The sequence below is a fragment of the Homo sapiens genome, chromosome 7, assembly GCF_000001405.40.
Source record: "Homo sapiens chromosome 7, GRCh38.p14 Primary Assembly".
Lineage (NCBI taxonomy): Eukaryota > Metazoa > Chordata > Mammalia > Primates > Hominidae > Homo > Homo sapiens.
In genome coordinates this window covers 70,397,355-70,416,005 of record NC_000007.14, presented here as the reverse complement: position 1 = coordinate 70,416,005, position 18,651 = coordinate 70,397,355, and the positions used below count along the sequence as shown (strand labels likewise).

The window sequence follows — 18,651 nt, the reverse complement described above, 5'->3', positions numbered from 1 at the left end:
CTTGAGTGGCAAAGAAGGGCTTCTCTCTCACACGTAGGGTTCAAGGAAAAGAGGATTTCAAAGTCAAGCTTCAGAGAGGTCTGCAAATATCAGGGAAGAACTCAGCTGTCGGCGCTGTGTGAGGAGAATGACACTCATTTCTGGACTGGTTAACGTCTGTGTGTGCGTGCACACAAATGCCCCAAGAGCCTTACAAATGGTCTGGTCCAACCCACACAAGGCTTGTTTTTCCCTGTTACCGTTGACTTGCTCTCCCCGTAACTCTGAGACAGCCACAATATAGATGTCTCTCCACCCAAAACAGAAGAGAGAAAGAGAAAGTGGCAGAGATGTTGGGGTTGCTGTGATCTTGTTACAACTTATCAAGTGGAGGCCACTTACGGTAGCCACTTGGTAGACAAACACTACAGATCACCAGATCTTAAACAACGATGTACCAGGACACTTTTTTTTTGTCTGCATGAGTAGAACTAATTTAAAATACTGTATGTGTTTTTCCTATTTCAATGACTTCAGATGGTCTAGTTTCAATTTCATGAAAAAATGAAAATCTTAAGTCTAATATCACCACTGTATACATGAATACTTCCTCAAACTATGCAATATGCTTACACATGTATTCCATCAGCTCATGCTTCAGACTGTGCTGTTAGGCAAGCAGGGCAGGCAGTCTGACTATATTTTCCAGTTGACATAATGAAAAAATCAGAGAGGGGCATGACTTGGCCAAGGCTCTACGGCTAGTGGTGCAGCACCAGGACTACAGCCTAGGCTGCCCCCAACCTTCATTTCATCTTTGTCATGAAGGCATTATCATCGGGGAATGGGACAAAGACCTACGAAGGCCAGAGAAAGGCTATGAGAATGCCTGAGGTGGGGCTCTTTGAGAATTGGCAGGTTAGGTGAGCAGACCTCTCTCGAAGGAGTTGACACTCACCTCTGAGGGAATGGGTGAGTACCCTGGGGAATAAACTATTTACTCTGTGTTAATATGCTGTCATAAAATGATGACATCAACCCAGTCCCAAACAGTGAGCTCTTTGCTCCCAAACTGAAGCCCACCAACTTTGGATCCACTGCACTGGGAGACTTGTTACCCTCTGTTCCAGGCTGTAAAGAAATCAGACAGTCCAGGAAGCTTATTAAGTAAACTAAAGACAAACTGTAACTCGTGCTTTGAGCCCTGGAGATTCACCCCAGCAGCCACTGGGGCTAAGCTATACATTTTTTCCCCTAAATAGATCCTCTCATGCAGTCTAAGCCTGAGACGGCGATGGGACCTCAGTAACTGACAGGCCTTTTCGGTGTGTGTCAGGCAACATATTTTACCACCCCCTTTCCAATGCCATATTCTCTCTTTCTAGGCAGTGAGCAGAATCCTCTTTCTCACCTCTGAGAGTCTCATAATTGTCTCCCCACTGCTAAACGTCTCTCCTGACATCACGTTCTGGAGGCCTGTCAGATGAATGCAGGCTTAATATGTCTGATACCCAGTTTGTGACCAACCTGCAAATGCCTCCTGCCTCCCAGTTCTAAGCGACACAGAGCTGACTGAGTATCTGTGCCCAGATCACCCATGTAAAAAAATTCCAATTCTGCCAGTCCCACTGCTGATTATCCCTGATAGGAGAAGGTCACTAATTGTATGTTCATCGCTACAAAAGCTTTGCTGGTGCTTTGATTAAAATGTCTCTCCTCATTCAGTCCTTGGAAGAGCATCACAAGTAATTCACCGCCTGTGGACCCATTACTCTACATGATGGGCCAATGAACTTAGCTTTAGGGAGCATTGGGGAAAGGAAAGGTAACAGGCGCTGACAGCCTACTAGGTGCTGGGCAAATTCTTCCATGCTATCGTACTCAACCTTTAACCCTACAAGGTAGGTAGAATTATTCTCTTATTAATAAACATGGGAAGATTTCAGAAATGTTACGCAGCTCCTTAGCATTCAAATCCAGGAGGATATGACTGAAGTCTCCTTGTTCTTTTCATTCCAAAAGCAGTGTGTAAGCAAAAAGTGTTTAAAGAGAGGCCAGGCATGGTGGCTCATGCCTGTAATCCCAGCGCTTTGGGAGGCCGAGGCGGGCATATTGCTTGAGCCTAGGAGTTCAAGACCAGCCTGGGCAACATGGTGAAATCCCGTCTCTACAAAAAACACAAAAATTAGCTGGGCATGGTGGTATATACCTGTAGTCCCAGCTACTTGAGGCTGAGTAGGAGGATTGCTTGAGCTCAGGAGGTAGAGGCTGCAGTAAACTGAGATCACGCCACTGCCCTCCAGCCTGGGTGACAAAGTGAGACCCTGTCTCAAAAAAACAAAACAAAACAAAACAAAACAAGAAAAGAAATTGTGCTTAGGTAACTCTAAGGAGGAATGAGAAAGGGGAATGAAGATAAGAAGACATTGCGGGTTTATACCAAAAACAACAAGCTTCTATGTCATCTCTCAGGATAACCCCCCAGGGATATTAACTACAATACACCCAGGTTCTTTGTCAAATGGAAAGTAGGAAACATTGTCACCCCTTTGTTGTCTTTTCTGTTTCCCTCTACTTGTTTTCACAGAGCTTCTGACTCCCCAGGACTTTTCACCCAGGTCCCTAAAACAGGCTGGATTGCTCAGACCACCTTTGGCTCTAATGTAGACCCCTTCAGCAATCATTTACTGAATCCCTCCTCTGTTTTAGGATAGAGGAATAAGACACAGGTGCCACCTGCCTAGAATAACTTATATTCTAGATAGGTGAGATAGTCATTTCAGAAATGTGGAACATTCTGGTTACTTAAATACACAAGGCTATTTGAAGATGAGCAAAGATTTGCTTTTGCTCATATTGGAACCACTGCTGGGAACAGGACTCCTTGGATATGTCAATCAATGAAGACAAAGGAGCCTACAAGGGGAGCTGTTCCTCAGCTCTCCTCCCAGTTCCCCAGTGCTGGCAGTAGTGCCAGACAGGGCATGGGGTGGCTGGGACATACATTATATTATTATTTATTATTTTTTAATTTTTTGGGATGGAGTCTCACTCTGTCGCCCAGACTGCAGTGCAGTGGTGCAATCTCGGCTCCTGCGACCTCTGACCCCCGGGTTCAAGCGATTCTCCCGCCTCAGCCTCCCGAATAGCTGGGATTACAGGCGCACGCCAGCATGGCCAGCTAATTTTTGTATTTCTAGTAGAGATAGGGTTTCACCATGTTGTTCAGGCTGGTCTTGAACTCCTGACCCCATGATCCACCCACCTCAGCCTCCCAAAGTGCTGGGATTACAAGTGTGATCCACTGCGCCCAGCCAAATTATATTATTTTAATAAGTATACATAAAATCTGTACTTGTAGTCAAGATTCATCCAGTAGTCAAGATGCAAAGAAACATTTGGTGAGCTGCCAGAATGATTTCAAACACCCACTTATCTAAAACCATGAAAAAGCTGTCAGAGGCTCTCACTTTATAATGGCCACCTTTAAGGTGTCATGTCCACCAAAGCTTTTGGCTAGGTTAACAGCTTCATTATGGTGTTATTCTACAGATGCATAAATCATCTTAGATTCCTTGCTCTACGAAGATCCTTGACAAGGATTTACTTAGCAAAATTTTGAGACCTGGAGTTCACTTATTCTCTTAGTATCAATCCAGGCATTCTTTACTTTCCCAAACTTGAATTTCCTGGAAGCTAAAAATAAGAACATAAGACTATATAAGAACTTCTACCCTGGTCTGCTCCCAGGTATTCTGGTAAGGTTATCAAGGGATAGTTTGTTGAAGGCCAAATTTATCTTCTAGGATATAAACACCAAAGGAAAGAGTTTGGCGGGGCATGGTGGCTCACACCTGTAATCCCAGCACTTTGGGAGGCCGAGGCAGGTGGATCACTTGAGGTCAGGAGTTCAAGACCAGTCTGGCCACCATGGTGAAACCTCAACTCCACTGAAAGTACAAAAATTAGCTGGGCATGGTAGTGGGTGCCTGTGATACCAGCTACTTGGGAGGCTAAGGCAGAAGAATTGCTTGAACCCACGAGGTGGAGGTGCAGTGAGCTGAGATCGCTCACAGAGCAAGACTGTCTCAAAAAAAAAAAAAAAAGAAAAAAGGAAAAAAAAAAGGAAAGAGTTTAAACTCCTTCATCAACAATCCTTGGCAGCGTTGGCTGTTTTGTCCTGTTTCCCAAAACCACCTCGTTCATATCCCAGTTTAGTACCTGCCATGTTGTCATAGTTATCTGTTCAGATAGTCTATATTCCCCTATGGTCTGTGAGCACATAGTAGGTTCCCAATAACTGTCTGTTGACTGAGGATTGGAATCATCCATTAACACTGTGAAAATATCTGACTCTAATTATATGTAGTATCTATATTATTTTTGGTGTAATGAATTTTATAAGTTGACTGTATGTTATGTTAAAACTTTTCTGATTAAAATGACACTTTTTTTTTTAAATGTGACCAGGCAAGCTTCAACATCCCAGTATCACAGTACTTGATAAAGTGTGTTTACCTATGCTGTGCCCTTCTAGTATCTGCAGGAACATTGACTTTTTGGCATTCTCTAGGTGCTTGTTTCCAAACTAAAAGTTCTCATTTAGTAGTAATTGTGGCTGTGGATTTACCTGTCTTGAGACTTGCTCTTTTAGGATTTTTTTGAAGTTCAATGGTGATTTGTGCATATCATGCAATAGAAATGAGCCGGTTGGCCTGACCACTGTGCATTTTCAGAGGCCAGGGGAATATATCATCCAGCAGTGCTCTTTTACAGGTACACGTCTCCCTTCTTCCTTTTTAAGGAGAATCCCATTTTTTTTTCAGGGCAGTGATATGTTTAATTAAAAATAATTGATTTCTGGCTGGGTGCGGTGGCTCGTGCCTGTAATCCCAGCACTCTGGGAGGCCAAGGCGGGCGGATCACCTGAGGTCAGGAGTTCGAGACCAGCCTGCCCAACATGGTGAAACCCCATTTCTACTAAAAATACAAAAAATTAGCCAGGCATGGTGGTGGGTGCCTATAATCCCAGCTACTTGGGAGGCTGAGGCAGGAAAATCACTTGAACCTGGGAGGCAGAGGTTGCAGTGAGCCAAGATCGCACCACTGCACTCCAGCCTGGGTGACAAGAGTGAAACTCCATCTCAAACATAATAATAATAATAATAATAATAACAATAATAATAATAATAATTTATTTCCTTAGTTCCTTCATATGTAGGGGATGACTATTTGATATAGTTCTGGCCAATGATTGCTACAAATCCCAGAAGAGACTGTCCTTACCTGAATAAAAAGGTAAACCCAGCCAGGCGCAGTGGCTCACGCTTGTAATCCTGGCACTTTTGGAGGCTGAGGAGGGCGGATCACTTGAGCCTGAGTTTCAGACCAGCCTGAGAGACATGGCGAAACCCGTCTCTACAAAGCATACAAAAATTAGCCGGGTGTGGTGGTGCATGCCTATAGTTTCAGCTACTCTGGAGGCAGATGTGGGAGGCTCAATCAAGCCCAGAAGATCAAGGGTGCAGTGAGCCGTGATTGCACTGCTGCACTCCAGCCTGGGCGATAGAGACTCTGTTTGAAATAAATAAATAAATAAATAAATAAATAAATAAATAAATAAATAAAAGACAAACCCTCCTAAGACAGAGCCTTTTGTACTTTCCAGATTTAAGATATGAAATCTGAAGTTCAACTTATGACTGTGAGGCAACATAAGTAATGACTGCATTCTACATGGGGAAGAGGTAGAGCAGTAATAGGAAGTGCTTCAGTTCCTAGTAGCATCACTGAGCTGCAGCCTAGGCCCAGCCTTCCTTTTACATGAGACAAACCAACCACTACACTGTTGCTCTCAGTCAAAATTAATCCCACCTGATGATGGGCAAAAATAATTAAAATATGCACAAAAGCTAATTATAAAGTTCCCTAAAACATACTTGCAAAAGTAGAGGGAAAAAGTTCTAACACCCCTCTACATCCCAGCCAACAGGAAAAGAAATGCTTCCTACTGCTAACTTCTTGAAGTGGATCTAGCTTCTAAATGCACTCAACTGTTCTCACTGTGAACACTGTTCAAGTGCGTGGGTCAGAGAACAGGTCCCTGAGTTGCCTGCATCAGAGTTTGATTTCCCAGTTGAATTGGCATTTGAATTTCCTTTAAGATTAAATGGATAACTTATAAAGGTGTACCGAAAGGAAAGTCTACCAATATTTACAGTCCTAAGCCCCTTTTCTCCAATCACTAAGTCACACCAGTCACTATTTTTATTAGCATAATACGTGAAAAATAACAATGTCTCTGCTTTAGAAATTTTAGTATAACGTCTCAGCTCAGAATGAAAGGCTAAGGCAGTTAAGATTTAACAGTTGCGTTTTTACGGAGTTAGGCTTTCCCCTCCCATTAAATGCTGGTCAAGATGACACGCCTCCTCATGTAAGCAGTGATTGCTTCCTCAAGTCAATAATACCCTACATCGCTCATGGAAGACACTGTCGGAATGCACACCTACACACATGTACAAGCCCACATGCACACACATCATGTGAGAAATCTTGAGAATTTCTGTATATACAATGTCCACAAACTGGTAAGTCTTTCTCCAAACTAATAACCTATATTCTCATCTATGTCCACACATTTGCTATGAGTTATTATACATACATAAATACACACACACACATATATATATATATACTAATACACCAAGTGATACTAGACAAGTACACAGCACACTCCTGACTTGTACATGCATGTACCTACATGCTTACGTATACCAAGTGATCAGTCTTGCTGGAGATTTATAACAAGGGGGTACATCCAGAGTGATAGACAGTCATACTTAGTGATAAATCTTTTCCAGACTATAGACATTTTCTTTGGTACCGTTGTCACAATCCAAAGTAGTGCCATAAGGTGGTGAGACCATTAGCCAAGATGAAACCTTCAGGGGCATGCATACCACTGTTTTCAAATCTGTTCCTTCATGTGACGTGCCAGTTGAAATTACTTCTACAACATGGTCAGAACCAACCTGGATAGATTTATAATGCTTCAAATTGCTATCAGCATATTTTGAGAATCATCTAGAGACAGTAGATAATTCTCTTTAGGTTGGAAAAACTGCTAATTCATATGCTTGTCGTGAAGTTTTTGAGGGCAAATGTTTAAATAGGAAGGCTGCAGAGCACAAAGCATGTCTGATGTAACCAGTGCAGCGTGCAAAGGAAGCCCACAGCAAGGTGTGTGGAAGAGCTTCCTATCTCAATAGTACACAGCTCCTAACTACTTCTCTCCATGATCTCTAGGTGTAAGAGTACCTGAATATTTTCACTCATTTGTAGCAAGCAGCTCCCTGCTGACTGGGGAGGTGGTGGGGGAAGTAATTTATGGCTGTACTTTGTCGGCAAAAGTGTGATGATTATCAGGGATTGTATGCTGAGCACCCAGAATGCACCAGGTGCTGTAAGCACTAGATGGGTGACAACAGTTGCTGTTTTTAAGGGGTTAAGTGGACCCTTTCCTGTTCTCTCTGCCCTGATTAGACCTCCCTATCTTCCTCCATTCCTTACTTCTTTGACCTTTCTCATAATGTGCCCTCTTACAGGCAGAGGAATGGCATTCATTCTCCACCACTCTTGAATGTCCCCACTGTGGTTCTGCTTAAGAGTTTCCTCTCATCCTAATGTGATTCTCACTGAGCTCACCCTATGAACCATTTCCTGAGCTGACCCTACGATCACTACCATACCAGACCCCTTCCTTCCCAGTGCTGGGAATTTAAAAGGTGGGAAAATTTTCAAGTGATGTTTTGTTTTCCAGCCACTGTATTCTTTTTTTTTTTTTTCCACAGGGTCTCGCTCTGTCACCCAGGTGGGAGTGCAGTGGTGCGATTACAATTCACTGTAGCCTCAACACCCTGGGCTCAAGCGATCCTCCCATCTCATTTTCTGACTTTTTTTTTTTTTTTTTTGAGATGGAGTCTCGCTCTGTCGCCCAGGCTGGAGTGCAGTGGCGCGATCTCGGCCCACTGCAAGCTCTGCCGCCCGGGTTCACGCCATTCTCCTATCTCAGCCTCCCGAGTAGCTGGGACTACAGGCGCCTGCCACCACGCCTGGCTAATTTTTTGTATTTTTAGTAGAGACGGGGTTTCACCGTGTTAGCCAGGATGGTCTCGATCTCCTGACCCCATGATCCGCCCGCCTTGGCCTCCCAAAGTGCTAGGATTACAGGCATGAGCCATCACGCCCGGCCCATTTTTTGACTTTTCTGTAGAGACGAGGTCTCATTTTGTTGCCCAGGTCGGTCTTGAACTCCTGGGCTCAAGCAATCCTCCTACCTTAGCCTCCCAAAGTGCTGGGATTACAGGTGTGGGCCACCCCACCTGGCTCACTATATTCTTTTTACTTTAAAATTTTATGCATCTTTCTAGGAAAAAAATCCACTGAAACTAATAAACAATCACTTTATGTGACGGGCATGTACACAAACACACTATAGACTTAGAACTTCAATAAGGCACATGGCTTTTACTTGGGTGTGATGCTGAGATTTTTATTTTTCAAGGGAACATACTCCCGACCGGTTCTTGTTATGCTGCTTTTTAAGAGAACCTAGCAAGAATGGTGAGTTCCATTGGTCAGCAAGTGGTAAGACAAGAAATCACCACAAAGACAGCTGCAAAAAAGAGCCTGGAAAAGCTGAGGTGGTATCACTGTAATTAACAGGGATAATTAACACAAGTTCTTGCACAATGCATTTGGTTTGAGGGGAGAGAGAAAATACTGGCTATCTGATTATGATTCCAAAATCTTCAAATTCTGACAAAATTCTGGCTAAACCTGCTGCCAAACCTACTTGCATCCTGTATTACCTCCTCAGCAGCTATCAACTGGGTCCGCCTCAAAATGTCAGCTTTCCTCTGCATAACATGGGAGTTATAACTGAGCTTAATCGGTGCCTGGATTTTCCGCAACTTACCGATTATTTGGCCAGCTCAGTTTTTGGCATATGCAGGAAGTCCTTGATGTCCATAAGGAGAATGACAACTTAACAAATCAGTAGGTTTTGGGTACTTATGGGAAGGTTGAGAACAGGCCAGCTGCTTCCTCTATTGGAGGTGATGCATGGTTAATTTCTTTATTTTAGCATACTGTACACAGATGCGGCTGGGTTGTTAATTTTGCTTTGCTACCAAGAGTTACAAGATATCAGCTATCGGCTGATTTATTTGAAATCCTCCCTGGAACGCATCAGAATTTTAATTGTTTCCTGAATTTCTGCAAGAGAAGACGAATTGATGTCACTGGGAAATGCCTTGGGTCCCTGCTGACTGCAACTAACTCCCAGTGACTGATTTCCAATTGATACAGATGAGGCCTGAGAGGAAGCACACATAGATACACCCACGTGAGCCCAGCAGCCTCGTAATGGCTAACAGAGATGATGGGGGAGACTAAACATTTCTTTCCAACAACTCATCAAGTACACTGTTCTTCTCAACAGATGTAACCGGCGGGGCCCAACATAGATGCTGGCAGAAACAGATGGTGCCGCGGGGCAGCTCTCTGTTCCCTGCTCCCTAGGTTGGGCTCTGCAAGATGGGGAAGAGGGCTTGTGTGTGCAGGCGGGTGGGACAGGGCTGTGTTTTCCAGCAGCAGGTACAATCCATTTGTCACACCAGCTCCAACCGGGTTTTCAGCACAGAAGTTAATATCTGAAACCAATGAGGCATTCTGTCCCACCATTGCAGGGAAACAGGGGGAAGCCTCTCACTCCCCATGTCCTCTGAGAGGAGGGAGGGACAGAAGGAAGGAAGGGGGTGGCAGGTCAGAAAGGCAGAGGGAGGCCTGGCAAGGGAGGGAGACAGATGAAAACACAGGCTTGGCTTGCAGTGGCTTTAAAGATTTGCTATTTTATGCTTCTCTTTCAAAACAAGATGGCAGGCAGGAAGGGGAGACCGTGAAAAGAGTGTTTTCTTTTAAATACCTTCAGGGGGAGGACTGCCACCAGGCCGCCACCACCACCATGAATTGCCAATACCACTATAATTACTAAAATCACCAATCCCCCCTAGAAAAAAACAAGCTTCAAGGGAAAAACAAGTGTGTTTTATTTCTCTATTCTTCACAGGGTCTCAGCAACCTCATAAAAGCATCCCCTACCTATTCACTCAGTCTGAAACATGAATACATATAACAGCAATAAATTTCCATTGCTTCCAACTTTGAACATTGCAAGGGTATGTGGCACGGAGAGGATTTTTATGAGCAGGCCTTCAGCTGCCAGGATCCCACCTTCATAAAGAAGAGATTTTAGTCCATTCTGTCTATTTATTTTGTGGAGAGAAATCAAGGGCAATAAACCATGAAGAAATTCACTCTACCTTATTCCATTTCACACTTTTGTCAACCACGCTTTATCGAGTATTTGAATGAATTTTTAATATCATGCCACAAAATGCTTTGGTCTTCTATCATATGCTGGGACTCTATCAATCTGATAACACTTGGGAGTTCTGAGAGATACTCAGCACTGAAGAAAACAGCTTTAAAGTTTAGTCATTCTGATGGAATGTAAAAGCTTGTATCAGTGACAGGTTGACAGAAAAAGCTGTTTTCCTTTCCATTTCACAGACTTCCACGTACGAACGCCATGAAACATGTCAGGACTTTCTCTGAGTCTATGAAGACAGAGATGGCATCTGCTCCCAGTGGGAAGCCCTTCTAACCAGTAATACTATAAAATTTCATGATTCTGAATTCTGACTGACATTCAAAAGGGCAGGGAGGAGGTGTTTACTATATTTTATAGAACAACATCAATTGCTTGTCTTAGCACATAAATATAGCTTTATGGTATACAATGCCACCTCAAGTATCTTTCCTCTCTCCTGTTCTCTCTTGCAAAAAAATCATAATCTGTTTGTGCTAACCAAAGAGGTTTCTAATTTCCTGCTATAGGTAGGAGGGAGCTTATATTTGCATTTCCCCTGAACTATACACTTTTCTTGGCTCCTTCAGGAAGCAGCTGGCATAAAGGGCAATGGTTTCCACTGATTCCAAGCGTAATCTATAGATTTTATATTGCAGCAGGAACTTTTGCCCCGGTTTCTAACGATGCCAATGCCCTCCCATTCCTATTGGATCTGGGTAGACGCAGTAGTTAGAGAAAATGCTTATGAAACCCATTTCTGTAGTTTTGATTATGGCAGTGTTTTCTTTTCCCCTGTATCTTCTTAGGTAGAAAGATGATGAGCCATATTGCTGTAGCAATATACAACAACAACAAGCAGGCACATACAACTATCAAGATATGCCAAAGGTGAACAGGGTCCCCCCAAATTTCCTCTGCACATATGCAGAGCAATGCAATGAGGTATCTTCACATTAAAAGGTAGTGGGTAGCAAAGCCAAGTAACTCCAGGTGTCCAAATAACCGCTGCTCTCTATGCCTGAGCCACACACTTTAAAACAAACCTGAAAAACTGGAAGTAGACCCTGATTTGAAAAGGTACATCATATCCCTCTGAGTTCACTAATTATCCCTGAAAACCTCCCCTAAATGGAGGAGACGGAGTGGACAAAGGAGCCTTCACAACAAAGAGAATACAACTGAATATTTCCTAAGAAAATGTGAGCATTTTTATCACCTTGAAGCCAGAGAGATATAGACAGGAATAAAGGCCAGACAAGGCAGAAGTCAGGAAATTTAGGAAACTGGATGACAAGCCAGCAATCTCTATTGACGGTGTACTGTAAAGAAGGAAGAAAAAACATGAAAGAAGACAAAGTCCCAGATAGATCTCTTAACTCATGCTTAGATATGACCCCAATGAATTCCAGTCACCTCCACAACACCCTCTGCCCACTCAAAAGTGAGGGTTGGGTGATGGATGATGGATTTTACACTCGAGTCTTAGACAGTGTTATAAAACAAGAAAAATACATATGGAAGATATGGAGATTAGGGACGGATAAGGTGTGCAGAAGACATTCAAATTCTCTTTTTCTTAAAAATATACTGTTATCCATGTCACCAAGCTTTCTGGACTCATTGCTACTTCTTGTTTTCAAACCTGGGTATGAATGTTTTCAAGCCTTTCCCCAAATCAGTTCTTTTAAGAATTAGGCCAGCAATCTGACATCTTTGATCTCCTTCCAAAACCTCTCTCTAAACACAAAACTTGAACCAGAAGGAATGCAGTGTCTACACACGTGTAAGAGGACCCAAACTGCCCAGCACATAAACAAACCTGTAATGAATTTTGTATCAAAACATTCTGCCAAGCCTTCCTTATGTATTCTTTTGCGGCTCTGCTCAGTTTGTTCAGGAAAGAAGACCCCATAGGGAGCTGAGAGATGTCTCCATCCCTCACCCATTCTTAAGTAATTTCTTTTGCTAAGAGAATGAGAGAAGAATGGACAGGAGCCATGAAATCCCAGAGGTCAGGAGTCCTTGAGGTATTTGTACATTGGAGGATGCTCACAGGAAGGCAGGTTGTTGGCCACAGTAGGCAGGCAGACGCCAGGCAGACATTGATGATCTGATGAAGGAAAGGCCCTGCTATTTTCCAGTTTGTTTCAACATGCAGTGCCAGGAGATGGCATTTAAATTAGCAACCTGTACTGAGAGTGGCAGTCAGGCCCAAGGTGTGGAATGGTGGGGGCCCCTGGCCAAGCCTCCTGACTTAATTCCAAGTATCAATGTAGCTGGTTAGCTGCATCTTTGCCCAGGGTAGGGATGGCAAGAAGTTGCAGTGTGCTATTCCCATGCTTTGGAAAGACTCACATCCTGTTGTCTTTTATTCATTTTGTGATTACATACCCTGCCCAAGGCAATTTTCCAGCAATTCTGCAAGTTCTGAGAGCTGGTGGCTTAATAAAAGTTCACTTGTAAAAAAGGGGGCTAGGGTACCTTTCCCGTAAAATCCTGGTGTCCAGGCCCACTCAAAAAGTCCCATTCAGTTTATAAATGCCTTGAAGGACAGACCTTCGTAACAGTATTATTTCAACTGCACCTAAGCTCCTTCCAGCTATAACATTATTTTAATGAGGAAAAAAGCATTTAAAATCCAAACTAGGGATGCCAAAGGAAAACAGCAGTGTCTCTTTGCGTGCATCCAGGGGAGTACATGAGTGTTCAGACGACTGGGGAAAAACCCAGTAATTATGATGATGGGCATCGATTTGGGGGGATCAACTTCATGCCAAGCGCTGTAATGGTGCCTTCATCCTTAATTCTTGAAACTACTCTCAGGAGGTAAATATGATTTTCTGCCCTTTACAATTGGAGACTGAAGCTCAGAAAGGTCAAATGAATGGCCCCAGGTCACACAGTTAAGAAGCAACAGACTGGAATCTAACCCACGCCCATCCCCAAGTGATTCTTAAATGTGCTCTTCCCGCATGCAAGCCTTTCTCTCTGTACCCTACAAACCAGAACTCTAGGTTGAGTCTCCTGCCCAACTACCCAGGAGTCTGGAACCTTGGAATCGTTTCTTTATTACTTGATGCCTCTGTGTCTCTACTAAGAAAATGCGATAGCTTCCAGGATACTTCTAAGACAAAATACAAGGTTTTACATGTGTAAGCCCTTTTTACAGCAAACTGTGATTCTGCGTCAGCTTCACAGAGCACCTTCTGAGACAGCTGACCCCACTTCAGTGGAGTGGCTCTGGTCAGCCTGAAGTCTTGCCAATGTCAGGAGTGGGCAACCTTTATGCTGTCCCTATCAAGTCACAGCTTCATAGCAGCATAAATAGCATCTCTGCGTAATTCTTTATTTCCTGGGTTGATACAAATGTCCTTCTTTTCTACTGTTGCTCACTCAATTTGTTTTCTTTCACTTAAGATGTGCCAATTGCTGGGCACCCTGGAGGTGCCTCCAAAACACAACATCCTATTTTCACAGTGTGACATCACAAAATACAGGCAGCATGTCTGGAACTTTGCGGGGAGCAAGGACCCCAAAGCACTATAATGATTTTTAATACCTTACATTTGGCTGTGCTGGGCCAAAAATGTGTATAGAAGGTTATGAGTTGATCAGAAACCTGGGGGGAATAGTGTAAGAAGTTACAGCCTGTCAGTCTCTGGTACATCAGCTCAAAAGACACTGGATTTTGTAAAGAAAATTTTCAAATGTGTGGTCCTATACAGCGTTAACCCCTTTACATGACTGTGCCACATACTCCTGGGGGACTGGACTGCTTCCTGCACAAAATCACGCTGGTGGAAGGATGGCAGAGGAGCTAGAGTTCTGCCCTCCTGTTTGCAGATCTTTCTAGATGTCTGCCTCATGCCTTGGCCTTGAAGCAGAAGCAGTCTCCTCCCACCTCTGCAGCCTGCTCTTCTTTGACCCTTCATCTGCATATGACTCCTAACCGTAGGCCTTCTTCAAGCTTCATTCTGGATCCTTTCCTCTCTACTCTCCACGGTCTCATCTGTCTTCACCATGACCTCCATGCAGTGGCCTTTTGAATTTATATCACAGCCCACTTCTTGCTCCACAGCTCTGAACTCACATTTCCACAGCCTCCAAAGGTTATTTCATGTCCTGTGGTCAGCTCCAGCTTGGTCCCTCCTTCCTCCTAATCTCACCACACCACTATTCTCACAGGCTCAAAGATGCCTAACAAGTGGCTTGCAACAGAAGTGTCACCTGGAAAAGTTTCCCCCTCAAACTACACATGCAGGCTTCCCCAGGAGGAGCTGATATGCCCCATCCTGGCACACATCTCAGGGAACTTGCAGGGAAGGAGGAAGATGTGGAGGATGAGCACAGAAAGGGGAGCAGGTGTGTGCAATTTGACTAAGGTCCCCAGGGGATTCTGTTACCTCTCCCTTCATGCCATGGAGAGCAGCTTCTCTAAACCTTGACATTATTTGTTAAGTCCCATTTCTCCCTCACATTCCCCATCAAATTCGTTGCCCAGTCCTTGCTGACTGCCTCTCAAAAATACCTCCCATATCTGATTCTTCCTTTCCATTCCCACAGCCCCTAACCTCATTATCTCCTGCCGGGATTGTTGTTGCAAGCAGGTCTCTGAACCTCCAGGCTCTCTCAGCTCCAATCCATCTTGTACGCTGCTGCCAGATTAACCTTCTAAAGCAGTGGTTTCTCAACTTTGGCGTGCATTAGAATTGCCTAGGGAGCTTGTTAAAAATACAGATGCCTTGACCCAAACCTATAGATTAGGATTGAGTAAGTCTGGGTGGGGCCCAAGGTATATGTATTTTTTAACAAGCTCCCAGGTGATTCTGATACAGTCAAGGTTTGAGAATCCCTGGCACAGCTCTCACCATGGCGTTCCCTTAAAAAGAAAAGTTTCAGTGACTCTCCTTGCTTACCAACCTCCTATATAAGGTGTGAGGGGAGAGGTGAGAGAATCCAGCCAATCTTCACGGCTTGGCATGGTCGCACATCAGGCGACTTTTCAGCTTGTCTGCCCCCCTACCTCAGCATGAACCTTGTGCCCAATCCTGACTGCTCACATCTTCCCATGTATGCTTTCTCCTTCCTTGCCACCTAACCTCGGTCAAACTGTTTTCTCTGCCTTCAATGTCCTTCCTTCTCCATTTGCATCAAATGTTGCGACAGGCTAGAGCTAGGGAACTTTTTGGGCAGGAGGATCATATGGTTGGGTAGAACACACCACTCTAGATAGTGTAAACATCTTGCAACAAGGATCCAAACCACACACAAGGCATACCTACAACTCTGTGTCTGTCTCATACATGTTCTATCACTTATTCCTTGAGATGACCCTCTGAGGTACTAATTTTCCCAAGGCTGCTCAACAACACAGAGACAGTCATTGCTATTCAAACCCAGGCTCACTTGACTCTAAATCCAGGGTTCTTCCATATATTTGCTACAGGTATAGTTAAAGCCCATTGCAAGGATCCACACTTGGTCACAGGTGTTTTTCTAATTGTGAGGATAATTCAGTGCTGACTAGTTTGTGTTCCTCGTATAGAAGGTGACCTCTGGACCTTTGCCCACTGGTTGCTGAAGGAAGGGAATACTGTTTATAGGAATGAAAGAGAATTACAGAAGCTCTATTAGTTTCCATTTCTGTAATTCCCTGGAGTAACTAATTGTTTCCACTCTCTGAATAGCTTACCACCGCACACTAAATCTGAGTCTAGTTGGCTATTCTCTAGTCTACACACTTCTGCTCTCCTCCACTGGGCTGTATGCTTACCAACACTCAGCTGTAATCCATCCCAAGTTTTTATTTATTTTTATTTTATTTTATTTTATTTTATTTTTTTACCCAGTTGTGCTGGGTATTACAATTATATCGTTTAATTAATAATTACCTTCATTGCTGAACTATGAATATGGACATATAATTGTTGCTTCTCTCAAACCAAACAAGAGTGTTTTAGACACTCACTAAAGGTGAGAAACTTAAAGATAAACTGCTATCCACTTAGGTGTGGACAAGGAAATTATAAAAGACTGGCAAAACAAAACAAATCTTAAACCTAGAGGACTTGAAAACTTGACAAGTGTCCAAGATCTGCCTCCACTTAAACTGAAACTGAGAATGTAGAGAATGCATTATGGATGAGAATTTATATAAGAAAGATGATACAGAGCTCTAAAAAGCAAACCCATAAGCAAAAAAAAAGACCTTAGCAATGTATGTACAATGTACATAGAATGGCGTAATATTGGAAATCTATGAATATAATTCACCATAGTCACACACTAAAAAAGGAAGACCTGGCTGGGTGTGGTGGCTCATGCCTATAATCCCAGCACTTTGAGAAGCTAAGGTAGGAGGATCGCTTGAATCCAGGGGTTTGAGACCAGCCTGGGCAACCTAGGGAGAACCTGTTCCTACAAAAAAAGAAAAAAAAATCAGCCAGGCATAGTGGTGCATGCCTGTGGTCCCAACTATTTGAGAGGCTGAGGTAGGAGAATCACTTGAGCCCAGGAGTTCAAGGAGGCAGTGAGCTATGATCGCACCACTGCATTCCAGCCTGGGTGGCAGAGCAAGACCCTGTCTCAAAAAGAAAAAAAAAAAAAAAAAAGAAAGACCATATGATTTTCTTCATAGTTGCAGAAAAAGCATCAAAAAACACACACAAAAATCAAACATTCATTCCTGATAAAATCAGAAAACCAGGATTAGAAAAGAACTTTTTCAAACGGAAAATGGCTATATATGAAAATCCCAAAGGAAACATCATACTTATGGTGAACAACTGAATGCTTTTGCCCTAAGAACAGAAATATCCACTCTCACCTCTATTAAATATTGTTTTGGAGGTTCTAAAAGTGAATCAACAAGGAAAAGAGATAGTAATCCAGATTGAAAAGGAAGAGTTAAACTGTCTTTATTTGCAGGCATAATAACTATCTATGTAGAAAGATCAAAGAGAATCTATAAAAAAGCTACTAGAACTATAATAGTATGTGCATTTATCATAATTTAATATAACATCAATATACAAAAATAAACTGTACTAGCAACAATCAAAAATTTAAATTTTAAAAATGTTATCATTTACAATAACATCAAAAAATATAAAAAACTAGGGATCACACAAAAAATATGTGAAAGACCTGTGCATTAAAAAATACAAAATATTGCTAAGAGAAATGAAAGAAGATCTAAATAAATGAAAAAATACTTTGTTCATGGTTTGACTCAATAAGGTATTAATTCTCCTCAGAGTGAGCTATAGATTCCATACAAGTTGACAAGCTGATTCTAAAATTCATATGGAAATATATAAACCTACAATAACCAAAACAATTTGGAAAAGAAGTTGGAAGGCTAACATTCCCTGATTTCAAGCATATCATAAAGCTGTAGTAACCAAATGATGTGGTATTGGCATAAAGACAGAAAATTACATCAGTGGAACTGAGTAAAGGGTGAGGAAATAAACACATACATGTGAACAACAGAATTTGAACAAAAGTGCAAAGGCAATGCAGTAGAGAATGCATAACCTTTTCAATAAGCAGTGCGGGAACACTTTAATATCCATAAGCAAACAAACAAACAAACTTGAATCTATACCTCATACCATATACAAAATTGAAGTCACATCATATACAAAAATGAACTCACATCATATACAAAAATGAACTCAGAAATTGGAGACTGAAATTTAAACACTAAAATTGTGCAACTTCTATAAGAAAACATAGGAGAAAATCTTTTAACCTTGAGTTAGGCAAAACTATAATACCAAAAACACAACACATAAAAGAATAAATTAATTAATTGGGCTTCATCAAAATTAAAAATTTCTACTCCTTGAAAGATACTGTTAAGTAAATGAAAAGAACCCACAAACTAGGAGCAAATCTTTGCAGAATGTGTGTGTGTGTGTGTGTGTGTACATACATGTAAGGAGTTGTATACATATGTAAATAAATAAAAGAATATATTTATTTTTATTTTAGATTATTTCTTAAACAATATTTTTTCATATATAATCTCAAACTCACAATAAGAAAACAAAGAATTTAAGTTAAAAATGGGCAAAAGATTTATATAGAAAGTTTACCCAAAAAGATATACATATGGAAAACAAACACATGAAAATATGCTCAATATCAGTAGTCATTAGAAAAACAAAAATTAAAACCACAAGTAGACACTAGTGCATGTGTATTAGAATGGCTAAAATGAGGCTGGGCTC

The 18,651-nt window shown here is 42.3% G+C and overlaps 1 protein-coding gene across 25 annotated transcripts in view, besides 1 other annotated feature; it reads right to left on the bottom strand.

The window, feature by feature from the left end:
• Positions 1-18,651, bottom strand: part of AUTS2 (activator of transcription and developmental regulator AUTS2) — a 1,195,032-nt gene that overhangs the window by 377,501 nt on the left and 798,880 nt on the right. The window lies entirely within an intron of this gene.
• Positions 212-321: an enhancer, noted in NCBI's record as "active region_26109". NCBI's record gives its function as "activates an Ori minimal core promoter by ATAC-STARR-seq in GM12878 lymphoblastoid cells {active_cell/tissue: GM12878}" and the evidence as "EXISTENCE:reporter gene assay evidence [ECO:0000049][PMID:35858748]".